The 27,465-nt window shown below is 51.7% G+C and overlaps 1 protein-coding gene across 8 annotated transcripts in view, besides 3 other annotated features; it reads left to right on the plus strand.

Annotated features, from left to right (window-relative positions):
- TSPAN18 (tetraspanin 18) overlaps positions 1–27,465 on the plus strand; it is a 206,114-nt gene that overhangs the window by 131,542 nt on the left and 47,107 nt on the right. For 3 of the 8 annotated variants that reach the window (XM_005253217.4, NM_130783.5, XM_006718372.4), the window contains exon 3: positions 2,477–2,618. The gene's annotated coding sequence lies outside the window, so the exon portion shown is untranslated. Of the gene's footprint in view, positions 1–622; positions 778–2,476; positions 2,628–18,330; positions 18,391–18,597; positions 18,733–27,465 lie in introns of those variants that run through there. The other 5 variants (XM_047427847.1, XM_011520459.4, XM_047427846.1 and 2 more) reach the window with 4 other exon arrangements.
- Positions 3,647–4,274: an enhancer, noted in NCBI's record as "NANOG-H3K27ac-H3K4me1 hESC enhancer chr11:44883049-44883676 (GRCh37/hg19 assembly coordinates)". NCBI's record gives its function as "activates a minimal SCP1, AML or CMV promoter by ChIP-STARR-seq in primed H9 embryonic stem cells {active_cell/tissue: H9 hESC(primed)}" and the evidence as "EXISTENCE:reporter gene assay evidence [ECO:0000049][PMID:30033119]".
- Positions 4,275–4,902: an enhancer, noted in NCBI's record as "NANOG-H3K27ac-H3K4me1 hESC enhancer chr11:44883677-44884304 (GRCh37/hg19 assembly coordinates)". NCBI's record gives its function as "activates a minimal SCP1, AML or CMV promoter by ChIP-STARR-seq in primed H9 embryonic stem cells {active_cell/tissue: H9 hESC(primed)}" and the evidence as "EXISTENCE:reporter gene assay evidence [ECO:0000049][PMID:30033119]".
- Positions 5,003–5,052: an enhancer, noted in NCBI's record as "active region_4663". NCBI's record gives its function as "activates an Ori minimal core promoter by ATAC-STARR-seq in GM12878 lymphoblastoid cells {active_cell/tissue: GM12878}" and the evidence as "EXISTENCE:reporter gene assay evidence [ECO:0000049][PMID:35858748]".

Raw genomic sequence — 27,465 nt, forward strand, 5'->3', positions numbered from 1 at the left:
TACACACAGATGCATGCCCACCCCCACATGCTGCCAACAGTCATGTGCACACATGGGTGACACACGCCCTCCTGAATGTCTCTAGTTCACACTCTATTTTAAACAGTCTAGGTGGCAGCATCCCACAGTGATCGAGAGCTTCCGCTCATAAAGCAAATAGGGGTTCAAATCCAGTCTATTTCACAGCCGTGTGTCTGAAAGTTACCTAGCTTCTCCAGTCTTCAGTTTCTCATCAATAAAACGGGGATGATAGCACTGTTAGAATGAAATGGGTGGACATACGTAAAGCACTGACCATGGGACCTTTCTATCTCATTTCTACTCAGCTCCCACAGGCAGTCTTAGCCTGTGGTCTCAAATGCCTGCCCCCCACTCCCACATCTGGGTATCTCCACGCCTATGCTCACCCTGGGCCCATTGTCCACAGCACCCTGCTACCATCTCCACACACCCATATCTGCCCCCTCCTCCGGGAAGCCTTCACATGCTCACGGGTGTTATCAGGGGAATTAGAGGAGGAGAAGCTCCTCTCCCTTTGAGTTATTACAAGCACAGGCTTCAAAGCTGGCCTGAGAGATGGCAGAGACTGACAGAGGGTCCGTGATCCCCTTTCACAGATGGAGAAACTGAGGCCCCACGCAGGTGAGGGTGTGCCTGAATGTTCACAGCAAGTTAGTGTGGTGTTGGGACTGGAACCCAGGACTCCTGCCTGTGGGTCCACAGATGTCACCTCCTTCTCAGAGTGAAGACTCCCCCCTCCATGGATCTGTTAGTTAGGTGGGTGATCTGGTTCTCTCAGCCAGTTTGAGGGAGCATGGAAGTTGGGGGAGATAGATGGGGGCCAAGGGGGTCCCCAGATGAGCTTGTGTGTGATGGTGGGGTACAGAGAGGAGTGGGAGATGCTGGGGAGGAGAGGCCAAGAGTGGGGACTGGGACAGGGTTGGCTGAAGCAGGAACCATGGGCGACCCTGGTGAGCCCGCAAGAATGGCATGGCTGTGTATGCTGCTATTGAAACAATCTCTGTTGTCACCTCTTTCCTGCAGCCGTTTATTTATTTCTTTATCATGCCCTTTTGGAAAATGCTGGGAATGCCACCCCTCCTGGGGAATGCACCCTCCCCCCGCTCCCCAGTTCACACCGTCTGGTGTGACATTCGTGCTCACCAGCTTGCAGAGCGCTAATGACATTTGCATTTTGCTGGCTGGTGAAATGTGGGCTGTGCTTGGTGATGGGGGGTAAGGAGATCCTTAGGCAAATGGGAGGTTCCCAGCCTAGAAAGAGGGGCAGGCTTGCTGGTCTGGGGGCCCACGCAGGTCTCTGAGACGCAGAGAAGGGAGCGAAGGTGGGTGCAGAGGGGACTAATGTCTGGCAGAATTTAGAGATGCTGTTTGTCTAAAGTCTTGCCAGAACACAAGGCAACCCCAAGTCTGGTGTTCCAGGTCCCCTGACATGCTCATGCACTATCCTCTGCGTCACCTCCTTAACATTTATTGAGCAATTTCTAGACGCCAAATGCTCCTCTGTGGGCTTCACAGACTTACGAAAGTCATTTTAATTCCCGGCAATCCTCAGGAAAAGATGCTATTATTATTCCCATTTTACAAATGAAGAGTCTGAAGCTCTGAGAGGACACCTGACTTGCCTCTTCTGGAAAGAGGTTGCACCAGCTTGTGGCCAAGGTCCACCTGCCTCCAAAGCCCGTGCTCTTGGCTACTGTGGGCAACCTCCTGTTCTTTGTCTGGGCTTGAGCAGAACCAAGAAGCATTTGTCTGCTGAGGCCCAAGACTGGGTAGAGGTGGTGAGCATCGTCCCCCGTCCGCCACCACAGCATGCAACAGGCTCCTGCTATGCTCCTGGGGCTGCTCCAGTCTGACAGCTACAGAAGAGGGTATGGCCCTGGAGAGAGGCCTCAGCATGAGTCAGGAGAGACCCAGAGTTTAGGCCTTGCTCTGCCACCAACTTGCTGTGTGACTTTGAGCAAGTCAGTGCCCCTCTCTGGGTATCAGTCTCCTTATTGGTAAAAAGAGGCCATTGGTCTGGCGGCATGGAGCATCCCAGGAATGCATTTTCACACGAGGAAGAAACTTCTCTCCAATCTGCTTGGACTCATGGACTTGCCTTGCACTCAGACACACAAATTATGTTTTACATAAAAGCAAATCATGAAACATTTGCTGAACCTCCTCTCCCTTCTGCAAGGGGCACTGTGCTAGATGCAGGGGTTATGACGCTTATGTATTTTTACTCAGCACATGCAAACACAGGCACATGCATACCTTTGTGTCTTAGAATTATTTCCAGGCTATTTCAGTCGGATCTAGATGTTGAGTGCCCAATCCTGATGCTCACCTGCAGGCTCCTGCAGTCTTGGTTCCATCACTTCGCCTCCTGCAGGGCCAGGAGAGCCTTTCAAACAGAAAGAAGAGACCGCAGCTCGGGCAGGTAATCACGGCTGCTTCTGCTTCCCTCTCACAGGTGAGCATCTCCTGGACCACCCTCAAGCTTCAGGTGAGCTGAGCTTCTAACACTACCATCAAAGCAACTGGAACCCCTTGAATTTGATTTCTGGAGACGCGAGCATAATCCTTTTGCAGACATCTCAACGCTGGCTCTCCAGGTAACAGAGGTTAGGCTCATTCAGCAAGGGGATTTCTGCTACTTTTGTTGTTGCTGTTGTTGTTGCTAAGGGTAACCATCAGCAGGGCACCTGTCATTCTCTTTCATGCATCAGTGTCTGTCTCTCCCATCACACCAAAGGTCCGTGGGCAGGATAGTAAGGGGTGCAGATAGTGTGAGTGGATCTGAGCCAAGGTTGCTGGGGTCTCACTAGATTAGCCAAGAAGATAACCCTCGGAGGGGCCAGACAGCTGAGAAGGCTGAGGTGCAGGCTAGCCCACCAGGTTGCTGGCCCATGCCCCTCAAGCTCAACTGGGGAAGGGTGGAACTGTTGCCCAGGTAAGCAAGAACCAGTGGTGGGTCAGAAGTAAAGGTTGGCTGCAGTGGGTGGTGAGAGGGCAAAGGCTGAACTGAGGTCAGATGCTGCATCATTTGGGAGCCAACACTCAAACTGGATTAAGCAAGACAGGCCATTTATTAGCTTTTTAAAATTGGTTTCTAATATATTGGTTTCTAATAATATATATTCCAAATATATATATTCCAAATAATATATTTGGGGCCTATTTATTGGTTTCAAGGCAGGCAGGGCTGAATCCAGGGCTCAAATGATGCTGTTAGGACCGTATCTCACCACATCCGTGTCCTCTGCCTCCCTCCTTGTGAGCTTCAGTCCTCGGTAGCCACTCTCCATGTGGCCGCAGGGCAGGCACCTGCAGATCCAGACTGACGCCTTGCTCATTTCAAATCCAATGGAAGGAGAGCTTCTTTTTCCCAGGCGGTCCAACAAAAATCCCAAAGTCAAGGCTTATTGGATGGTCTTGGGTCACATGACACCTCTGCCCAATCACTGAAACCTGGAGGATAAGATATGCTGATTGGCCAGACTGGGTCAGTTGGTCGGGGGGCAGTCGGTGCGGGGGTTGGTGGGGTGCGGGTGGTGCTGAGGGAGGTGGTCGGGGCTGTGGGGACTGGTCGGTGCTGGGGTGGGGGCGGTCGGTGCTGGGCGGGGGGTCGGTGGTTGGGGGTGGTGTGGTGAGGTCGGTAGGTGTCGTGGGTTGGGGAAGTCAGCCTGAATGCATGAGAGGGGATGGACTTGCAAGGGAAAATCCAAGCATTATTTTTAGAAAAAGGAGAAAGGAATGCTGGGCAGACAAAGCAGCAGATTCTCCCTACTGGTGTCATGTTGGGAGTCGGGGGCGATGAAGCACCCAGGTGGTCGCATGTGTCCCAGTTGGGATTCTTCCTGTGATTTATGGTACCAGGGTTGGCCTCTCTCTAAGTGCCTCATTTTTAGTGAATCTAGTATCTGAAAGCCCAAATTTCACACACACACACACACACACACACACACACACACACACACAGCCCCCATGCCTCTGATGGATCTGAGAGTGGTACTTCACGTTCCAAAAAGATTGTTCCAGAAGGTCTTTCTCATAAAGAGTCCCTGCACTCTCTGATGGCCGCCCCACTATTTCAGCCACCCCAGCGCCTGGCTGCCTTGAGTAGACCTCCACTCGCCGGGAAGGCCTGTTCCTTTTTCCCCCCACCTCCACTCCTTCATGGCTGAGGGGAGTTTCTTGAGCCTCTTTAGGGTTTTTTGCGCTAAATGGGCCCCTTCCCAGAAGACCAACCGCAGCCTTGCTTATCTGAAGCCCCTTAGAGGGACAGGGGAGCAGAGGGGGACGGGCACTGGTTGAGTGGAAGCTCCGTCTCTGGGGGCACGAGGGTACACGTGGCCAGGCCAGCCTGGCAGCCCTGCTGCCCTCCGCCGCGGCAGCTCTGTCCTACATTTAGGGTGCGATGTGTGATTTCATTTGAGCAAATATTCCTCTGCAGAAAAAATACCGAAAACCACAGCTTGTGATGCTGCCTCCCAGGCAGCTGCCCCTTGCTTGGTTTTGGTCAACCACAAACCTCCTGGCCCTCCCCCAGTCTCTCTCGCTCTGTGTCTCGCCTGTGGGCTCCAAAGCTCTGACTCACCATGCAGCCAGCTCAGCGCTCAGCACCACCCTGCCTTATATGGTGAGCTCAGCACCTCTGGGTCAATGAGTGTTAATTCATTTATTCAGCCAATGGCTGTTGAGTGCCTATCATGTGCCAGGAGCTGTTTAAATGCTGGGGATTGAGGGTGAGCAAAGCCCAAAGGTCCCTGTCCTCAGGGTTCCCTGACCTCTCCTCTGGGAGATCTCCTGAGGGCAGGACCCTCCTCTGGGTGTCTTGCCCCCAACCCCTCGCCTGATGTCTCAGACAGTGCTAAACCATAACTGGGCTGGCTTGGTAGATATGTCGGTCAGTTACTTTCCACAGCATTTTGTAAAGCCCCCACCTGTGCCTGATGCAGCAGAAATAGCAGAATGACTTGGTTCTCAGCCTTTAGGACTTAGGGTGTAAGGTGCCACTTGTCATGGCCCTGGGGAGGAGGAAGGGCAGCTGTTAGAGAGATCTGTATGCAGACCTGCTCCTGGAGTGTGCACCTGTTAATAAAACGAATCATACAAGCTCCACTTCCCAGGCATTCGTCATTCATTCAGATGCACTCAACAGGCACCTCAGAGGCCAGATTTTTAAGGGAGACGATCAAAGTCAAGACATCCAAGGTAAAGAATGGGAGGGTCCAGAGCTGAAATATAAAGGAAGGCTTGGGGGTTCAGAGGCCAGAAGGAGATGTTACTGCTGCACAGTGGTGGTGTAAAATCAGGGGATGCAAGGCCTGTGAGCTGTGCCTAGATATAGGCCAGTTTCGGACGTTAGAAAGGACATTCGGGAGGAAGACACAGTGAGAGCAAAGGCCTGGCAGTGGGACCCTGAGGCTTGAAAGACTGTGCCAGGCAGGAAGCCAGATGAACTCGGTTAGCCTTCTTTCCCGCAGGCCTCCAGGCTTGGCCGTGCTGGGCCTGGGGCCATCTTGTCTTCAAGGCTGCTTTCAACTACAGCTTGGGTACGGAGTTTAGTAGCGCCTCCCTTTTCCTTTTGTCCTCTTCTTCCCTGGGAAGGGGAGTTTTGGAGGGCCCTTTCAAAGAGATGGTGCTGCACAAAGACCAAGAGTTCTTAATCCTCTCATTCCTGAGATACTTTACAGAGCTTAGGGCTCATTTTCACTTAGAGCATTGCAAGCAGCTGCCCTAGTGGCATACCCTGGGCTGGAAGTTGGGAGACTTGGGTCCCTGCTGCACTACTGATGTCCTTAGCCTCCTGGCCTATAGTTTGTCAAGCTCCTTCCGCTTGAAACATTGTATTCCATGTCAGACCTGGGTTCGGATCTGAGCTCTGCTAGCAGTACAGCCTCAGTATTCTTATAAGTAAGTTAGAGATAGTAATAGTCACTTCTCGTAAGACTGTGTGAAGATGGAAGGAAATACTTGAATGACAGAAAGTGCTTAACAGAGCACCTGCCAGGGATCAGCATTCAGTGTAGTACTGATGCTATTTGGTGTTGTTATTATTTATATTTCAATCATATTAATATAACTCTGTGGGAGTCTTCAGTGTATAGGTGCCTGTTGGTCCATGTCCCAAAAAACTTGGTGATGGGGACCGGGCACGGTGGTTCATGCCTATAATCCCAGCATTTTGGGAGGCTGAGGCGGGCGGATCTCAAGGTCAGGAGTTCGAGAGCAGCCTGGCCAACATAGTGAAACCCCGTCTCTACTAAAAATACAAAAATTAGCCGGGTGTGGTGGCATTCGCCTGTAGTCCCAGCTACTTGGGAGGCTGAGGTGGGAGAATTGCTTGAACCTGGAAGGCAGAGGTTGCAGTGAGCCAAGACCGCACCACTGCACTCCAGCCTGGGTGACTGAGTGAGACTCCGTCTCAAAAAAAAAAAAAAAAAAAACTTGGTGATGGGGTGGGGTGTCACACCCCTCCCATCTCCGAAAAGTGTTGGGGTTGGGGCTGCCTTACCCAGAATCACATTTATTCATTCATTCACCAACACTTCATTGAGCACTTACTGTGTGCCTGGGCCTCTGAGAGGCACGTGGGGTCCTATTGGATAGGATGCTCAGGGTCCCTGCTCTCGGCAGCTCAGGTCTTCAGGCTGAGGCCTTGGGGAAAATCCCACCCCAGCTTCCCATGGCACCCGAAGCTTTGTTCAACCCTCCCTTGCCATCTTGGGCCTAAGGCCTGGGTGAAATGCCAGAGCATCCACTAAAATGGACTGGTCCAGTGTTGCACATGGACCTTATGGGGTGGATTGCCAAGTCCCAGTTCAGCATCAGGAAAACTAAGTGTTTCACGGGGAAGATGGGCTTGCCCTGGGTGCCAATGGCAAGGTCCTGTTTCATTTTTCACCCCCCTTTGATGCTTCTTTGGATCCTGAACTGCAAAGGGTTTTGATTATTTCTGGAGGACGCCAAGCCTGTACATGGAAGGTGCTGGGGGTCCAGTCTGCCCCTGTGTTTGCCTGGCGGTCTCCTTGTGGGTATCTCACCCTCTCTGGTCTCTGGCAGCCAGCAGAGCCTGCCATGTGGGGCATCAGCCAGAGGTTGGTGAATGGATGGATGGGTGGAAGGATCACAGTGGATTTACTGGAATCGGTGTTGTCCCAGCCTCAGCCGGGGTGGTTGGACATACCAATCTCTTGGCTTGTTTTTCTGTGACAATTTGATTTTGGCTCCCGTGGAATATAAGGAATTTTCAAGTAGTGGAATGGACTCAAAACAAATGGCTTTTGAGCTGATTAAGTTTCTCAGTTTGATTTCAGGGAGGCAGCCTGGTGTGTACCCTGATTTAAGGACAGAGCTTGCAAACGCCAGCTCTGAGGCTGGGTGACCTTGGGCGTGTTATTGAGTCTCTCTCAAATTCTCAACTCTCATCTAGAAAATGGTAGCACTAATGGCATCATAGGGCTGCGATGAGCTTTAAATTAAATAATGAGTGTTAAAACAGTTGCAGAGCTCTGGGCACGTGGTAAATGCTCAAGAAAGGATGATGATGGTGTATTTAATGAACACCCTTAAGCTATTTGTTGCATCTTCTTGCTCCCACACGGGTTTTTCCAGACTACTTTGCATTTGTAAGACAAAAAAGTTACTTTGAAAAGTTATTATTACACAAGCAATATAGGCTTCTTAAAAATTCAAATGATCTGGAAGGATTTAAATTAAAAAGCAAATTCCTCTTCCCTCCACCTGCCAACCCCATCAGTCCCTTTTCCTAGCAACATTCTCTTTGAATGTGGGGTTCTTCAAGACTAGAACTTTTCTTCTTTTTTTTCTCTCCTTAAGGACAGGGGACAGCTATGCAGTCAGGAGGGGACAGTAGCCTGGTGGCTGTTGCAGCCAGTTGTCATCCAGGCTAAAAGTCCTGAGGCTGGTGCCAAGGGGTCTCAGTGGAGCAGGAACAGGAGCAGGAGCAGTCGGGTCCCTTAGGCAGCCTGGCTTCCCCAGCACTGTTTGCTCTGAGTCACAGGGGTCTCCAGCACTCTATGGGGTCTCAGAGTCCTGGGGATGGGAGTGGCCTGAGCCGAACCACATTCAGTCCAGGCTTGGAGTGCCAGCCTCACAAACAATGTGGATGGCCACCTGCTGGGGGCCCCTCTTCTGTCACAGTGCCCCAGGGCTCAGTCCAGCTCCAGCTTCTGTGACCCCGGCAGCACAATCGATTGTTCCTGCTCACCTTCTGACAGTCTGCACTCCCAGCTGTGCCCTCTGCTGCCACACTCGGGCACAGGCCCAGGTCCAAGTGAACACAATTGGCATTAGGTTCCAGCAGGACTGGCATGGGGCCCAGCACATCATCGGTGCTAAATGGACTTGCAGCAGGTACGAGGTGTGCCGTCTGCCTTTACTTCTCTAAATCTGATTAAATCTGCCTTCAGCTCCCTCCACGAATTTGAAAGACATTCAATCCCAATTATGTTGGGGAGTGGATTTCTTGCCACCTAGGATCACATAGGAGTCTTGGTGGCCTTATGTGATCCGAAACATTTGGGAAAGGCTGCTGGACTTGAGCCCACACAGGGGCCCCGCAGACAGGCTTCTTTGCCAATCTCAGGGTCTAATGAGGCCAGGTGGGCAGCAGCTATTTCTGTGCTAGCCAGGGCACAGCTGTGGTCTTTGGTTGCAACTCCGAGCTATGAGCTTCGGTGTTCAGTCTCCCAACCATTCTCTGGCATCTCAGGATCACTCCATTAAAGCCTGATCACCTCTTGGAAGAGCTGTTCCGGGAACAGGGCACCTGAGCTTGTAACTTTTGGATCCTACCAATCTGGCTGATCTCCAGAAACACTCTCCACCCCTCCCCTCAAGCCTGCTGCCTCTGCTGCCCTCCTCTGCAGGCTCACACTGCAGCCACCTTCATGGGCTTCAGCCTAAGCTGTCTTCCTAGACCCAGCCATTTTCTGACTGGCCTGGGAAACCAGCCGCCCCCAAGGCATAGGACCCAAAGACTTGGCCACCATCTTCGGAAAGAAGAGAGAAGAATGCCCACTGCAGAGTGAACAAATTGGGGAAAAAAAGTCTCAAGACATAATCCTGTCACTCTCATTGGCTGCAACAAATGCATCAATACCTTTCATTCAAGTATTGATTGAACACCAACCTTAAATCAGATTCTTTCAGAGACTGGAGGTAAAAAAATAATAAAAGACCAACCTCAAGTTGCTCAGGGTTTAAATAGTGGTTCTCAAACATGATCCTCAGACCAGCATCACCAGCATCTCCTGGGAACCTGGATATGCAGATTTTCAGACCTCCACTCCAGACCCACTGAATCAGAAACTTGAGAGTGGTGAGGCCCGGCACCCTGGGTTTTGACAAGCCCTCCAGGAGATTCTGATGGAAGCTCAAGTTTGAGGGTCCCTGAGGGCAACAGCAGGCAGTGGTCTGTCTAATACACTGCAATGCATCAGCCCATAGACCAGGTGATGCACGCTGGGGAAGGGGGAGGTACTGGAGAAGGCTTGGTTTATGAATCTTTTTTTTTTTTTTTTTTTTTTTTTTTCAGACAGAGTCTCGCTCTGTCACCCAGGCTGGAGTGGAGTGGCCCGATCTCGGCTCACTGCAACCTCCACCTCCCCAGTTCAAGTAATTCTCCTGCCTCAGTCTCCTGAGTAGCTGGGACTACAGGCATGCACCACCACATCCAGCTAATTTGTGTATTTTTAGTAGAGATGGGGTTTCACCATGTTGACCAGGGTGGTCTCAAACTCCTGACCTCAGGTGATCCACCCTCCTCAGCCTCCCAAAGTGCTGGGATTACAGGTACGAGCCACCACACCCGGCTCGTTTATGTATGTTTTAAAAGGGGACAAAGGAGTCTGTGTGTGAGTTGAGAGAGAGTAGATTCCAGCAGAGGGATCAGCACATGCAAAGTCCCTGGGGCATGACAGAGCAGAAGCATTCAAGGAGCTACAAATGGTGCCACTGGGTGGAGTGAGCAGAGGAAGTAGAGGAGGGGAAGGGATATGAGATAGGCTGCTTGTGCTGAGTTTGGGCTTTTCCCCAGGAGCACTGGGGAGCCATAAAAGGGTTTATGCAGAGGAGGAGGACAGGTGATGCCCTGAGAAGATGGCAGGGAGGTGGGATAATGGTTGAGGGTGAACAGACTCAGTTGCAGTCATTGCAAGGCCTCCAGCTGGTGACAGGCTGGCTTCTGAGGGCAGGGTTGGGCCTGTGGGGAGATGGAGAAAAAGGAGGCCGGGTGCAGCGTGGATACCCGGGTCATGCAGGAGCCCTGCCCTGTTACTAGATCCTTCCCTCAGGGGACGCAGTTGGAGGCTGGAACCCAGGTGGCCATCTGCCGTCACTCTCTGTCTGAGTGCCTTGGAAGCCTTCAGTTGCTGCCAGGCACTATAATTCATCTTTGCATGCTCCCCTTTATCTTTTTGGGGATAGAGAAAAACAAAATACCATCTGCACATCTGGGTGCTAGGCCTGGAATGGAGGCACCAGGACATGCAAGAGCTGAGTGTGGAGCTGGGAGGAGACCAGGAGAGGATCCTGTCGGGGCCCGAGGTGGGAGCTGGGCTGTGGGTATGGGTGTGGAGGGCACCTGGCCTCCCCACCTCAGTACTGGCGTTGGGAGCCCCATGGAGAGGAGGAAGCAGAGGAAGCTCCAGCCCAGCCCCTTCCTCAGAGACCCCAGCCTTCCTTGCTGCTTTCCTAGGGCCAGGCGGGCACAGCTTAGGGAATGGGGACTCGCCTCTCCCAGGATCAGGGCTCTTGCTTGGAAAGGAGCTTCCAATGAGCTCATCCTACAGTGAGTCCAGCCACTGGCCGGGAGGAGAAAACTTGCAAACCACAACCAGGGTCCTGAGTCCTTGGGGCGGGCAGAACCGGAGAGGGGGAAGGTGGAGCGCCCACACCAGGGCAGAAAGTGAGGCAGGTCTGAAATAGGCCGCTGGCTGGAGGGCCAGATGGGGACTCTATGTGCTTTGAGTTTGGCAGCTCCTGCTTCCAATGCATCCACTGCTGGTGCTAGTTTAAAGAGCAGTTGCTTGGAGCCAGGTGATGCTGGCCCTGGTCTGTGTGTACTTAAGGATCACATTAGCCCCAACCCACAATCACTGCTGATTTGTGGTGAGCACTTGGAGGAGCTGTGGTTCTGGCTGAGGGGGTGCCAGCCAGGTTCTGCCCACTAGGCGTTCCCTTAGGAGGGCTTAGGCCCTTTTTTCTGCTTTACTCTTAGTGTATAGATTTAACTCTCGAAGAAAGTGATCAGCAAGGATGTGTGGCCTTGCAGACTGGGCCGGGAGGGATTTTAAGGTGATCGGTTTTGACTCCTTGAGAGGTGCTCATTCAGCTTCTGCTTACATACCTGTAGCGATGGGGAGCTCACTACCAACCAAGAGAGCGTTCAGACTGCTTTGAAAAAAGTCATTCCCATGCTGTGCAAAGGCCTTGGGTTGAAATCCTATCCCTGCCTCTTGCTGTGTGACCTCAGACAAGTGACTTACCTTCTAGAGCTCTGGTTTCCTTTAGTCTAAAATGGGTTTGGTAAATACCCACTTCTCACTCGTGGAGAGGTTAAAACCAGTTAACTGTACAACCAGGAACAAGTCAGATCTCTCCACAGTGCATAGAAGCTGGGCCCAGACAGTCTTCTCAGCAAATGTACATGTCCCACGTCCAATAGTATCAGCAGGATAAATGTCAGCTTCTCCCTGGCACGTAGCTGATGCCAGGATGTGATTGGTGCTGCCCCCACCTCCCTTTGATGGAACCACAGTGCCTTAGAGACACGGCCAGGCCCCGTCCATGACTTTATCCTAACTCAGAGGCCGCAGACCACAGGATGCCCTGAGCTGTCACACGGGCCCAGTGTTCAAAGGCTTCTAGGAGGCTCAGTCTCTCTGGAGGCCTCCGTCCCTCACACAGTCCCCTCCCAGGCCCACCCTCCTCACATTATCAGGCTTTGTATCAGGGTTTTAATGAGGTTGGGGTGGGTGGGCAGGCAGCATTGCCTCGACTCCCACAGGAAATAACGAGAAAGCACCAGTATAACAGCTCAGGTGGAGAGGTGGTCCCTGAAACTGGCAGTGACTTCTGACCTTGTGACCTCAGGCCTCAGCCCGCAGTGCCACACTTCCCCCAAGGGCATGGGCCTTGCCCCCTACCATACCTTTCTGCAATCCTGTTTTGCCCTTGTTCCTATTTTATTTTTTAAACAGTTTTATAGAGGTATAATTTACACACCCTAACATTTGCCTGTTTTAAGGATATTATTCAATAGTCTGTAGTAAATTTACAAAGTTTTGCAGCCATCACTACAATCTAATTTTAGAATATTTCCATCATCCCCCAAAGAAATGTGGCATACATTTGCCATCAGTCCCTGTTCCCACCCCAGCCCCGGGCCACCACCAGTCTACTCTGTGTATCTATAGATTTGCCTTTTCTGGACATTTCATGTAAATGTACTCATACATCATGTGTGGAGGTGGGTGGAGCAGTGTCTGCTCAATGATATGCCTGTCTCCCCACAGCCAGCTAAGGCCAAGGCAGAAGTGTGGTTTCTTTTTAAGAGTTGGAAGAGCTCATCGAGGCCCCTGAGTGCAATTTTTACTTCAGTGCAAGAAAGAAATCCTCGGTACCAATCTCCACACTGAGACCCCTCTGACATCTGCTTGAATACACCTAGTCAGCAGCTCACTACTTGCCAGAGACTACAGGAAATTCTCAGATCCTGATCACATAGAGTGCCAGGCCTGCTGGTGTCATTTGATCTTTGGTTTCATCCTTTGAGATGGAATCATTTTACAGCTCAGGAAATTGTAGCTCAGAAAGGTTGAGGCACTTACCCACAGTCACACAGAGGATGGCTGGATTTAAACCCCACGTCTTTTTTATTTCAAACACATTGTTTAACACCTGCACCACATTTCAGCTGTTAAAGATGTCACTACACTCCATTCTGCTGGGGGACTACTCATCTTTGTATTGGGGTTCACTCTGTCTTATGTTAATGACTTCTACTCATCGTTTCTAGTTTTGCTGACTAGACTCACACAGATCACCAACCTGAGAGTGGAGTGGCATAGAGACTGGAGAGGAGGAAGGAAGCAAGGAGGACTTCCTAGAGGAGGTGATGTCTGAGTTGGGACTTGAAAGATAAGCAGGAATTAATGGGCAGAGCTTGTAGGGAAGAGTTTCCAGGGACTCTTAACTGCCAGCTCTTAAATATTTCACAACTGCTTGAGACTGGAGGGAACTGTCTAGAGTATTTACTCTTGCTGTCTGTCATTTGCAGTTTGGGCTATTATAACAAAATACCATAGACTAGGTGGATTAAACAACAAATATTTATTTCTCAAGATGCTAGAGGCTGGAAGTCTAAGATCAGAGTGCTAGCATGGTAGGGTTCCTGGTGAAGGCCATCTTCGCCTTGTATCTTCATGTGGCAGAGAAAGAGGAAGCAAGCTCTCCTGTCTTTTCTTATAAGGGCACTAATCTTATTCATGAGGGCTCCATCCTCATGACCTAATTACCTCACACCTCCAAATACCATCACATTGGGGATGAGGGTTTCAATATATGAATTTGGGGGGACACAAACATTCAGTCCACAGTACTATTTATTCTTCCCCACACATCACCAGTAAGTGATGGTCCAGCAGCAGTGCTTGATTACCTCCAAAGACAGGGAGCTTACCACCTTACCTGGGAACCTGTTCCATGGTGGAGCAGTTCTGATTCTGCCACGACCAGCAGAACATAGTCAGTCCCTCTTCATACCACCAGCCTTCAGGATGCTGGGCCTGGCAGGCGGGTCCCAGAAGCAGCTTGAAAGTCTTGGCCAAAATGTGCCCTGTTCCTTCATCCATTCTTCCCAATGTGTATTGCTTGCTATAGATGCTGCTCATGCCTGCACACCTGCCTCAGGGATGCCCAGCCCATACCCTTGGACTTGGAGGCAGGTTCAGAGTAGTGGTTAAAAGCCACTCACTATGCCCTCATGCAATCTTTTCTCCATGCACAGAGACAAAGCAAGAGAGGGAGCTCTGTAGTTTCTCTTCCTCTTTTTTTTTGAGACAGAGTCTCGCTGTGTCACCCAGGCTGGAGTGCAGTGACACAATCTCGGCTCACTGCAACCTCTGCCTCCTGGGTTCAAGCAGTTCTCCTGCCTCAGACTCCCGAGTAGCTGGGATTACAGGCACCCACCACCACCACGCCTGGCTAATTTTTTTTTGTATTTTTAGTAGAGACAGGGTTTCGCCATGTTGTCCAGGCTGGTCTCGAACTCCTGACCTCAGGTGATCCACCTGCCTCGACCTCCCAAAGTGCTAGGATTACAGGCATGAGCCACTGTGCCCAGCCTCTTCCTCTTCTTATAAAGATACCAATCCTATCAGATTAAGACCCCATTCTTATGATCTGACTGAACTTCAGTTGCCTCCCTAAAGGTCCTATCTCCAATGAAGTCACGTTGGGGGTTAGGGCATCAACATATGAATTTGGGTGTATGGAAGCATAATTCAGTCCATAGCATGCACCAACCTCATAGGGTTGCCACGAGGATTCACTGAGTGAATGCATGTAAAACATCAAGTGCAGTGCCCGGCACATGCTAAGTGCTGTGCTAGTGTACGCTATCAACAGAGCACTGAGCATTATGGGAGAATCCCCTTTCCATCCTTGCTGCAAGTCTAGACCCTGTGAAAGCCTAATGAATACAGTTCACATGTTATTTAATGATAGCAGGTATCTATATTGTGCTTACTATATGCCAGACTCTGCTTTAATGCTTTACATAAGTTATTGAAGCTTCACAGCAGCCTTATGAGATCTATACTCTTAGTATCCTTATTATACAAAAGGGAACTGAGGCACAGAGAGGTGAAGCAACTTGCCCAAGGTCACACAGCCATCAAGTGCCTAGTAAGTTAATAGCACACAGTTAAATAATATTATAGTTAATATTAAGTAATATTTATTAAGTGCCACCTGCCCAGCCTGGGCACAGGGTGCCTGTGCTTCAGAGGAGATAGATCCATGACCAGGCAGTGGCAGGACTGCATGCTGAGTGTTCCGACAGGGCAGACCCAGGGAACTGTCATGGAGCCCAGGATACCTAGGGCTGTGGCACCTAGCCAGGCCTGGAGAGACACCAGGGAGGGCTTCCTGGAGGTAGGAATGTTTCAGCTGAAGTCAGGAAGAAGATGGTCGAAATGCTTGGATAAGGGGCTGGAGGTGACAGTATGTGGTTGTGGGTTGTTGGAGGACTCAGCCAAAAATTTCCATTCTAAGATATTCCAGTGGTCCCTTGGCAGCACAGGGGCCCTGCATAGCCTAGAGACCCTGGGGTGGCCCAGCACTTCGTGGCAACCTGGGGGTTCCATGTTAGTTCAGGGAATTTCATGGTGGCCCAGATTTTTTTCCAGCACTCAAGGGACCTATGTGGTCTGGGCACACCATGACAGCCCAGAGATTCTGGATAATCCCAGGAATGCCACAGCAGCTTTAGGAAGTTGCAGACATTTTGGACCCTGGGGATTCTGTGACAACCCCAGAGATTGCATGGCAGCTCCAGGGTTCTGTGGCCCTATTCTTGTGGCTGCAGAAAGAACAATATGCAAACTCATAGCAGACAAACCCCTTGACTGGGGACAAAGAAAGCAGCATGGAAGGGACTGTACCCAGTGATGCATTTTACAGGGCTTAAGTCTAAGGAGGAAATTCTAAGGAGATGTGGCTGAAAGCCCAGTCCCTCCAAGGCCTGGGGAAGCTGAGGGGTCTGCACTCCTTAGGGTTTATTTCCTTCTGGGAAGCTGAAAATGAGCCACCTCGAGGAGGTCTGTGGGGAGTGCTGTCCTGACTTGTAGGCATGTGACTTGAAGAGGACTTAGGATGTGCCTGTTACCTGGATACAGAGGCACTGGTCCTCAGAGCCCTCTGAGCAGAGCATGGGGCAGAGCCCAGAGGGAGCTGTTATCTGTGAAGGGAGCTGGCATTCCTGGACCTACAGACATGAGGATTGGCCCCTCAGGGGGCTTATATGATCTGGGCCCTCCCAGGCTGGCATAGCTAGGTTTGTTCCAGCTCTGCCTCTCCAGGCCAGCTGGGTGGCTTCACCTGTCCCCACCTTGGACCCAGCACCCGCAGCCTGGGAATGGCCCTACATCTGTTTCTTAGGGGGCTTCAGGAGTTGAGTGGGGTGGGAAAGACCCCTGTATAAAAGCATGAGGACACATTCCTGCTCCACCATGGAGCCGTGCACTCCTGGGCAAACTCCTTCACACCACTGAGCTTCAATTTCCTCATCTGTAAAAAGGAGATGGGCCTAGCACGGTATGGGACATACAGTAACCAATGTTAGTTTCACCTCCACCTCTTCCGCCTGATTCAGAGATGGCAGCCAGGTGACCTGGGCATGGGGAAAAGGGTGGGTCTCAAGTGGAGGGCCCATCTGGCCCCATAATAGTCAATGGTCTTTGTGCCTTTGCCTCTGGGCAAAACCTCCCTCTTCTACCCTTGGAAGAGCCAGAATGATCACTCCCTGTGCCAGGCACTCGATGTCATTTAGCCCTCCCTCTAACACTGTGAGATAGTACTATAGCAATCCCATTTTACAGACAAGCAAACTGAGGCACAGAGAAGGCAACTCAGCTGTCCCAAGTCACAGAGCAAGGATTCATGCCCGAGTCTATCTTGATTGCAAAGCCTGGCACTAATCACCTCTCTTCCCTGGTATCCTTCTAAAAACACCCCAGGGAGAAAGAGGAAAATGGTGAGATGGGAACCAGCCGGAGAACTAATTGCATGCTTGGTGCCTGGGTAGGGGGACATCTTTGTCCCTCAGGTCTATGGCTGGCCGGGCCTGGCAGTTCCCAGTGGGGAAGCTGTGAGGAGAGGCTGGGGCTGGGTTCCACCCAGGCTGGCTCCTGATCCATTTGAGGATCTTCCAGCCCTCAACAGCATGGAGCCTGCTGAGACCACGCTCCTCCCTTTAGCAACCCTTTTTCAGAGAATTCCACTGGAAGAGGAGGGACGGAAACAGACATAACTGGAGAGAAGGAGGGGTCCCGCAGCCCACAGACCCATTTTGCTTTTCCAACCAAGTGAGAATCAGCATTAAATTGGGGGCAGAGGGGGCAAGACCCACTTCCCCTGCTCCCCCGTAGTTACATCTTCCCCAGGGCTGGAGCAGCAGCTCCATGCAAGAGTGAGAGGCCTTGGACCAGCCCCTTGCAGAGGTACATTCTCCCCCGTGGGGCCCTCCCAGCCCATGTGGGCCTAGAACACCAGACAGCCCAACTCACAGCCAGCTTCTCTGATGCCACTGCCAAATACCAGACCATTTACCAGGCTTTTCCAGAGAGCTGGTGTCCCCAACCAGACCTCTAAGCCTGCAATTAGGCAAGCAGCAGAGGGCTTAGCTTTCTCTGGGTTGTGGGCATTTCGGTGGGAAAGATAAGCTTGGTTTGGATTAAGCTAGAGCATAAAATAATATTTATCCTCAAACAATACTCTCTGGCTGGGAGCAAGTCTGGGCCTTGGGGCTTCGGAGGCTAGGGGCTGCCGAGGGATTTACCACCTCCCTCCAGGTCACCAGGAAATCTTACCTACCGACCTTCCCTCATCCTAGCTGGTTGCACAACCCAATTCACAGTGCTTGCTCTCATTACGAAATGGAATTGAGAAGATGTTACAGCATTCAGCACGTAATTATGTGCAGAGCACTTGCCCTGTGCAAAATTATCTCATCAAATCCTTGTAACTACCTTGGGAGTCGAGCTTATTGTCCCCACATTGATCCAGACTCAAGTCCCAGCTCAGTCATTTCTAGCTCTTGGCCTCAGAGAAGTGGCTTCATTTCCTGTGAGCCTCAGTTTTTTGCCTGTAAAATGGGAGTGATAATAGCTTTCTAAAGTGTGCTTAGGAAGATGAGCTAGGATTTATATAAAACGCCTCATCCGTGCCCTGGTGCCATAGTAGTACTTAATGAATGGTAGGTGATATTATAAAATCTTAGTGTTTCTGGTAAAATAGGCCTCAGGTATGTGAAACAACCTGGCTGGAGTCACAGAGCTATTCAGTGGCAAAGCTGAGATTCAGACCCCAGGTGGTGGGCCCTGTGGGAGCCAGGCCTCCAACCAACTGGTCAGGAAAAGGCCCAGGCAAGAGCTAGCCTGGCCTGCATGGGGCTGGGGGTACCACTCAGACACAGCCTGGAGCTCCGGAGAGGAAGGACCCCTGTGCTTCCTGTCCCCAGTCCCCTTTTGTGGAACAAAAGTTCTTCTGTTTTCTGTTCCTTATCCCATACCTCAGTGACCTGTGCCCCGGGGACTGGGAGAAGATCACCCTGGCTCATTCCCCAGATGAACAAAGGTGGGTCAATGCTGTCTCTGAGAGGACAGGGGCTGACTCCAGGGAGGCGGGTGTTATGTGTCAAATAGGGTGTGTGCCAGCGTCCCCAGCCTGGACACTGTAGAAGGCACTCCTCTGAGTTTTAGTGACCTTCGCCACATGTGACCTTGCTGTGTGGCCTGAGGAGATCCCTGTCCCTCTCTGGTCTTTGTTTTCTTATCTCCAAAGTAAAGGCATTGGAAGTAAACAGAAGGGACCACTGCTTAGGCTGGAGAAATCAGGGAAGGCTTCATGGCTGAGGAGACATCAAGCTGGGCCTTGGAGTGTGAGAAGGAGTTTTCCAGGCTGACCAAGGAAGAAAAGGTATTGCAGGCCCAGGTTGTAGCACCATCAAAGACACGGTAACATCAGAGTATGGGGTTTAAGTGGTGGGTGGCTCTTTTACAATGATTTGTTTTAATTACATAAATAATACATGTTCCTTGTTGTAAAAAATAGAAATCATTTGAGTATGAAGAATAAGATAAAAATCACCAACAGTCAGCTACTCTTTGGTACTGCTTCAGCTTTTTTTAACATGATTGGGAAAGTGGCTTGTAAGCTCCCTGATATATGGAGACTCTCAGCTTCTGGGCAGGCAGCAAAGAATAAAGAATTGTCTTCTGGAAGCAGAGCCAGGCCACAAGTCCCAGACAGACAGACAGGGTTTCACGGAGCTGGGACTGGGAAGAGCCCACCAGGAGCATTGGTGCCTCCTCCCCCAGGCCCCTGCAGAGCCTGCAGCGGACGCCAGGATGGAGGGACTTCTCCGCCTCTGAGGAAAGGAGGCCCAGAGGGAGGATCTTTGTGTGCACAAATGCAGCCTGTGGGAAGGGCCATGCACTGCCGCTTCTGGAAGTCCCTGGGCCTGTCAGCTGACAAAAGTGGCCATCCCGCTGCCAAACAGTCGAGGGGTCCCCATAATGGCTTCACTGTGGTTTCCTACGACGTCTGCAGGGTATGGCAGGCTGGGGCGGGAGCCCGATGACATTGTGAAGTCACTACTGTGATCTTGCCAGTTCTCCAGCGCTGCCTTTAAAATGTGGTTCATCTAATGGACATTGGGTGGGGTTGGGCAGGGGCAGTGTATGGCCCAGGAAGAGTGACCTGGAGTGGTCTGTCCATGGTCATTCGAGGGGAGAGGTGCAGGCTGCAGGGATCTCAGGGTCCATTCCTTGGGCTCCTGGCCCCGTTCTCCCATCCCCAACACAGAGAACGTTTTCTAGAAGCCTCAGCCAGGACCCGCTCAACTAAATAAAGGAGTGAAAGCAGCCCATGAGGACCCCCCGCCTCTGCTCCTCTGTTAGATCATCTCCCCGGGTGTCCAAGCATCTGGGGCCTCAGAAAGCCAGAAAGGGAGGGGACGGGGAGAAACAGCCAGGTTATGGTGACCACCTGAGCCACCATCATCTTGGCTACGAAAATAGGATGGGTTGTTCCACTTCGCCCACAGCCCCTGTGAAGCCTGTTAACGGTAATTACGAAGTTAGGAGAAATTCCCAGGCCTCCTAATTAGTGTGAATAGGGGCTGGGTAAGCTAGTCGTGGGAAAATAGATGTCTTTGTTTGCATTCTTAAGAGGAGACCACGGCTTTCTACCTTTAGGTGTAATAGAGCTTGGCTCTCTTCTCTCCCTCTCCCCACTGCTCCTGGCCTAATACCCTGTACTGTGGACAGGCACATAGTTGCACATACCCACTCACCACCATATCTCCTGTGTGTGTGCACGTGCACACACACAGACACACGCACACACAGAAGCACAATAGACTGCATCTTTCCATCCTGAATTAAGACGTCATCTGGCAAAACAAACACCAAAAACCAAACAGCATTTCAGCCATGCTTCCGGCCCCACTGACAATACCATTAAATGCCCCTTCCCCCAGCTCCACCCCAGACACCCCAGGGGACTCCTTCCCAGGCCTCCCCAGATTAGACTGTGTTAACAAACCATTACGTGTTCCAATTAGAGCGGCAGCGGACCTGGCTGGCCGGGCGTGTAAGAACGCTCTCCTCTTCCCGCTAACAGGCTGAGGGGCGCCGCCCCAGGAGGGAACAAGCCACGCTGGGCTCCCCTCTGGACGCTGTAGAGATAATGAGATCCAGCGTCTCCATCCCGGCCTGAGGAAGGCTCCCTGCTCTCTGGGTCTGGGGCCAGCCCGGGGGAGGTTTCCTTTGGAACAAGCAGGAGGAAAGGAAAGAATAAGGGAGTGAAACTAACATTTATTATGCAGTATGGGCTGTTGAGCCTGTGCCAGGAAATGTTGCATAGGATGGTGCTTTTTAAACTGAGTGGTGGGTACCCACGGGGCCCTGGGGTACTTCTTCCTGAACCAGAGGGTATACAAAGTCTCAGGGTTCACCCTGTGCATCCTAATAGAACATTAATTCTTGAAGATTTGGAAGATCACACCTACTTTTTTATTTAAACATCATATTTTTAAAATATGTGGTATATTTTGGAGTAAAATGCAAAATAATTGCATGAATATGTGAAATAAAACAGGAGATTTATAGTCAAATGTGCTCTCCCACTCTTGTGTCTGGGCTGGGTCTCCCAATCTCCAAAAATGTGGTGGTAACATGTTGTCTTCCATTGCCTCTGCGGGAACTGAGAAGGGAGAGCTTCCCCATTGTGTGTGATGTTGGGCAACCCCTATACCTCTCTGAGCCTCCCATCCCTCAGCAGCACGATGGAAATGCTAATAGCACCTCCCCAGGGCTGGCTTCACAGCCACGCGACCTGCGTAATCCCACAGAGCCCTGAACTTCAAAGGGCCCCACAGTTGGTTCGATGCTCTGCCCTTGCCATCTTGAAATTCTTAATAACTTTTGAACAAGGGACCCCCTTGTTTTTACTGAGCCCCGCAAATGATATAGTTGCTCCCCAGAAATGATGTAGCTGGTGCTGCACGTTTCAGCAGAGTTTTAGCAAGGGTTAAATCAGAAATGTGTGAAAGAAGCCCACACGGAGATTTATCCCTCCCTCCCTCTCTCCCTCCCTTCCTTCCTCCTTCTTCTTTCCCTAAACATCCATTGAGCACTCAGTATACTGGGTGCTGTGATTCAGCCATGAACGAAATCCCCTGCCCTCTTACATTCAAGAGAAGGGGAGAGAAGATGAATAACAGAAAGAAAACATTGCTGGAGATCCTGTCCACAAAGAGGGGACAGACAGTGATGGAGCGCGTGGGGTTTTGTGTGAGAGGGGCTTAGGGAAGGTCTCTGTCTTCGAGCAGAGACCTGAATAAGTCGAATAAATGAGCCATGTGGAATATCTGGGGGAAGAGAGTCCCAGGCAGTAGGATCGGCAGGTGCCAAGGTCCTGAGGCGGGAATGTGCTTGCCATGGTGGAAAAGGCCAGAGCAGCTGGAGCTGGCTGGAACAGGGTGAGGAGGGTGGTCGGAGGTAAGCCCAACAAGGCAGGGCCAGGTCACTGAGGGCCTTGTAAGCTGTTGTGAGTTTGTGGCAGGGGTAAGTAAATGACAGCATGGGGGTAGAGGACTCCTTCAGCCAGAGCTGGATGTCTGTGGCCTCCCAGGATAAGTGTCTGGAGGCCAGATGGCAAAGCGGACGAAGAAGCGTGTCCCGTTGTCCTCTGGAAACTCAAGGCAAGTTGTCTTTGGTCAAGGGATGAGTGCCAGCTGCCATGCAGGGACCTCCACTGTAGGCAAGAGATGGCTCCTCTCCCAGCTCTCTCTCCTCCAACTGGACAGTAGCTGTTTCAGCCCAGACAGCTGAGCCTCACCGCACCAAGGAGGCGACGCTGGGGGGAGGCTGGACGGTGGAGGAAGGAGTAGCCTGCCTTTCTGGAATCCTGGCCTGTCATCCATCCTGGGCCTCCATTACCACATCTTGGACAAACTGCACAGTCAAAGACCAACCCAAAAGGCACCCATGACAGTGCCTGTGCCAGAAGAGCGCCAGGATGGCCGCTGAGTGAGGTTTTCCAAGCTGTAGCCCCGCCAATGAACTCCAAGATGTACGGCAGGAATGCTGGAGACTGGGACAGCCAGGCAGCCTTGGTGCCAGGTCCCATACGCAGGGCTGGAAGCTGTGCCAGTTCTGTGCTTGTGGATAGAGAGACCCTCGTGCTCTGTTAGCCTCTCCCAAGCTGCATAACCCTGGTGAAGGGGTGTCACCTCCCTGGGACTCCCTCTCCTCATCTGTAAAATGAGGATGATAGTGATGTTATTAGCAGTAAATGAGAGTGCGGGTGAAGCACACAGAAGGTCTCCTGGCACATGGGGCATATTCACCCAGTGTGAGCCCTTGGGTACGGAGGCCTGGTCTGATAGTCCCCTCTGAACCACACCACCTGATCACAGCTCAGCTGAGAAGTAGGCCACTGAGAGATGAATCTTAAGACCAAGCCACCGTGTAATATTGCCAAAGACCTTCAGAACATGTTATGTGGCCAGGGCCAGGTCCTCAGAGCGATCATCTGTGCATGAAGTGGTTGGACTCAAGGACCTCTGTATAATGAAGTGGTTGGACTCAAGGACCTCTGAGCCGCCTCCAGCCCTGACATTGTGTATGATGGGAAAGTGACTGATTCCTCCGTGAGAGCCCACCTGCCAGGGCAGCACCGCTCAATGCTGGGCAGGACAGCAGACTGCAGGGGTGGGCAACATGACACCTTGTGGCTCCAGAGGGCTGCTGGGCAAAGGGCCTGGCCTGCAGGCTGGAGGGACTGGCTGTCCGTCCTCCTGTAGCAGGCGTGGGACTCCTGCTGTCCTGCCTGGGAGAACAGTAATGTTGGGCAGTTGTTATAAGCCCAGACTCTGCAGCCTGACTGCCTGTGTTCAAATCTCAGCTCTGCCACTTTCTAGTGTGTGACCTTGAACAAGTAACTTAACCTCTCTGAGCCTCAGTCTTCACTGCTGAGAAATGGGGGCAATAATAGCATGACCACCCAGGGCTACAGGAATGGATAACCATGTCTGGCACTCGCAGATCTGTAGAAGTGCAAACTCCTCTTGTTATTGGTTGTTTTCCTGGAACTAGGTCCCCAGCCAGTCCTGTCCTGGTGAGCCAGTTCCACAGCTGATGGAGGAGCTCCTTCCCAGACCCCAGACCCCTCGAACCTCAGCCGCCGCCCCTGAACACCAGTTCCCTCCAGGAGCAGCTGGGCAGCTGTAATATCATGACGAGAACAGGTCATGGGAAGGAAGGATTTCTTTGAGCATCACTCAAGAAGTTGAGCAAAGAACTCCAACATCCCTATTTCCGAGGGAAACATGACCTAAAAAGGGTCTTCATCCTAGTTTTCTATTTGTGAACTGAGGATATCAGTCCCTCAAAAGGTTGTTGGAAGGCTGCAATGAACTGTATGGGAAAATACATCTCCGCCACCTGTAGCCCAGCAATGCAAGTGCCCGCTGTATGCCAGGCACTGTTCAGACACGCTCCACCTGCTTTATCCTTTCCAACTGGCAGGGGAGGCACTGCCTGCCCAAGGGCACACAGGTAGGAGGTGGTTGGTGAATTCAGACCAGGGCCAACCGTTCTTGACCCTGTCCTCATTGTCTCCAGTTGCAGGCACCCAGGAAATAGGATCCAGGTTCTACTTTAGGTTTGTCTCTTCTCAGAACATTTACCTTGGCAAACCTGATATGATGCCTTCTATAAAGGACCTGTTTCCCATAGAATCTCTTCTCTAATAACATTTGCTGTTGGAATTATACCTTGGAAGGGGTCACTGGTGAAAGAATGACTTCCGGCTAAATTCAGAATCATCTTCCCAACTCCCACAGTGTGGCCCATCTTCTTAGGCTCTCTCTGACCCAGCTCTGTCCAAGTGGTTAGGGTCCCTGGTGGTCCTGGAGTCACCAAACCAGGGCTCAGATGTGAAGTGACTTGCCCAAGGTCACACAGCACCCAGGGATAGGGTCAGATCAGACCCTGGACAGCCTCATCCTAAAGCCGCCTCCCATTCCCCTAGAAGCGCAGCATCCATGTGGTCCCTGGGAAACCCTGTCCCTGCCCCTTGGAACTTCCTCTTCCTTAATTAAGGGGCAGCTGGGGGGAAATGAAACACCTACCCGTTCTTCCTTTTCCCATTGAGGAGGCTCCCTGAGGCCCCTGCTCCCAGCGGGTCTCCACAGTCCTGAGGCTACCTCGGGCAAGCAGGGCTTTGTACAGTGGTTCACACATGCAGAGCCTCTAAATTAAAGGCAGCCACCTCCCTCTGGGGGTCATAGTCCCAGGGCAGGGCTAGGGGATTTATGCCCAGGCTCCCGGGTGCGGTGTGCTTTAAGAGGATGTGTTGCCGCTGATGTTAGCAGGTAGCGTTCCACCTCACCAGGAAATGGTCAGAGAGAGAGACACACACACACACACACACACACACACACACACACACACAGAGAGAGAGCATGTGCGTGCATGTATGTGTGTGTTCCAAGAGGGAAGAGAGAGCAGAGACAGAGAGACAAGACTCTGAGATGGAGAGAGACGGAGGGACAGCCTGGCACATGGGACTCAAGGCCAGAGAGTGGGGTGTGGCCGAGACACCAAGCTAGCTGGCTGGCCGTGAAGCCTGAACTTAAACCCAGACCCCCAGACCCCCAGACCCAAGGGCGCTGCCTTTTGTTCTTACATCCTCAAGAACTGCAGAAAAGGTACCAGTTTGCCTGATTTGAGCCTGGCTTGAAGCCCCGTCGGAGTCCTGCTTTCAGCACCCCTACTTCAGACACACAGAGGGCACTTTCCTGGGTGGAGGCACCATTGCTGTCTGTGTTTAGCAGGGCAGCATGAGTGTGCCCGACTGTACCTGCGACCTCCCCTGCCAAGCTCAGGCACTGGGCACCATGAGGCAGGAACAACAGCCCCTGAAATCTAGTGCTTTTACAGGATGAGACCCACCTTCCCTCTGCTCCCAAGAGTTCTGTTTCATTAAAACCTGGATCCTTCCATTTTAGTGACGTTTCTTAGCTCTGCAAGCCACGGATTGGGCTATATGTACATTTTTAAATGACGAGGCTGGCTCATCAAATATTCAGACCACCATTTCCATTTCCAAAAGGACAATACCTGAATCCTTTCCTCCCAGAAATGGAGCTAGTGGCACCTAGATGTTTCTGCAACATTGGCACTGGGAACCGTGAAACCATGGCACAGTGGCCCTCGGTAGATAGCAAAAGGTGTGGCTTCCAAATGAGTCATAACAGCGCGTGCTTCTTTTCCGTGTTTCATGCGGTGTGGTCTCACTCAACATTCACAATGACCTGTGAGGTTACAGGGTGTGCTGAGGCTCAGAAAGGCCAAGGCCACACAGGTAGTAAGTGGCAGAGACAACTCCACCCAGGCCACTCTGGGTCCCTCAGCCACTCTGCATGATGTGTTCCCAGAGAAGCCCAAGGCAGGCAAGTAACTTGCTCAACATCAGAGTCTGGTTAGTGGCAGAGCAAGGGCCAGACCCTGGGTCCTCTGACTCCCACTACAACGCTCTTTCTACTGGGGTTTCTGATTCTGCTCCACGCTTTGCCCTACCAGCTTTGGGACTTGGACACCTCTGAGCCCGGATGCTGGAGAGACTGCCTAGGTTCGGATGCCAGCTTAATCACTGTGTGACTCAGGACCAGTGACTTCACATCTCTGTGCCTTGGTTCCTCATTTGTAAAATAGGCATAATAATTGTACCTACTTTGTAGGTTGTTGTGAAAATTAAATGAGTTAACAGATGCAAGGTATTTACAACCGTTTCTGGCACTTAGCAAGCACTCTGTATTAACTCTTATTGCCATCATCACCATTACTGCCATACCGTCTCTTCCCCAGGGATGCACAGGAGACGACTGGCTCATCTGTGCCAGGGGCCCAGCCTCCTCTCTGCCCCAGGTCTGCCCACACTGCCTCCAGCCTCCCTGCCCCTTCTAATTGCTATTGGGCCTCAGCAGAGCAGGGAAGAGACCTTCCCAGGCACAGCAGGCTAATCAAAGTGCACACCTTTGGCTTATCATATGCTCTGGATGGGTCATTTGTCATCCATTATGGCCCCAGAGACGGGGCCAAGGTCCACAGCAGGCAGGCGGACCGAAGCTGCCCAAACAGATCTCAGCACAACCGTTCCATGTGCCTTCATTGCCTGGTCCTCTGGCAACCCTTATGCAGCAAAGCTCTGTTCCCATGTGGTACAGGGGTGGGGGTAGAGGGGCTTGCTGTTTTCAAACAGGGCAGCAGCGTCAGGCCCCTGGCCTCGATGGGCGATCAGCTCGACTTCCTCCAGTTCCTTTAGCCTCTTCTGTTGGAAAGATCCCCCCTGTGCGGTTCAGCCCCTCACATTCCCCACTCGGGGCTTTGGCTAAACCTCACCGGCTCCCAGGAGTCACGGCCAGAGCTCTCCCTGCAGAGGTTTAAGTCAGCCACCACTTGCCCAGTGTTTCTCATTGCTAAGGGCATTGCCTGTGACCCATGAGGGCCTCATTTGACCCTCATGATGACACTGGGAGGTGGGTGCCATCTTTATTCCTATGCTCCAGATGAGGCTGCTGAGGCTCAGAGAGGTGCAGAGACTTGCCAGAAGCTGCACAGCCACATGGGGCTTGAACCCAGCTTTCTGGATAGGCAGTTCTGTTCTCTCTCCATTCTCTGTCCCCACACAACAGAGGGAAAAACATTCACTGAGAGTCCTCTGCATTAGCCCAAAGTCACTCCCTCAATAGTTCTTAAAGTCAGGGTTCCACAAACTATAACCTGTGGGCCAGATCCTGCCCAGTGTTAATTTGTAACTAAAGTGGGGTTGTCCCAGAGTCATGCCCAGTTGTCCACGTGCTCTCTATGGCTGTTTTCTCAACCCAAAGGAGATCTGGGTAGCTGTGATGGATACAATATGGCGCCAAATCCTAAAATAGGTATTATATGGCCCCTTATGGAAAAAGTTACCAACACCGCTCTAGACCAGTGTTTGGCACATCCTCTCTTGTCCCCATCACATCGATGTCCCTTCCCTAAGCCCTTCTCCGGTATTTATTACCTTCCATCCTGCCCAGCTCCCATGAGGTGAGCCAGGTGGGGATTTCTGTCCCCATTCCACAGATGGAGGAACTAAGAC

Source organism: Homo sapiens, chromosome 11 (genome assembly GCF_000001405.40).
Source record: "Homo sapiens chromosome 11, GRCh38.p14 Primary Assembly".
In the NCBI taxonomy this organism is placed as follows: Eukaryota; Metazoa; Chordata; class Mammalia; order Primates; family Hominidae; genus Homo; species Homo sapiens.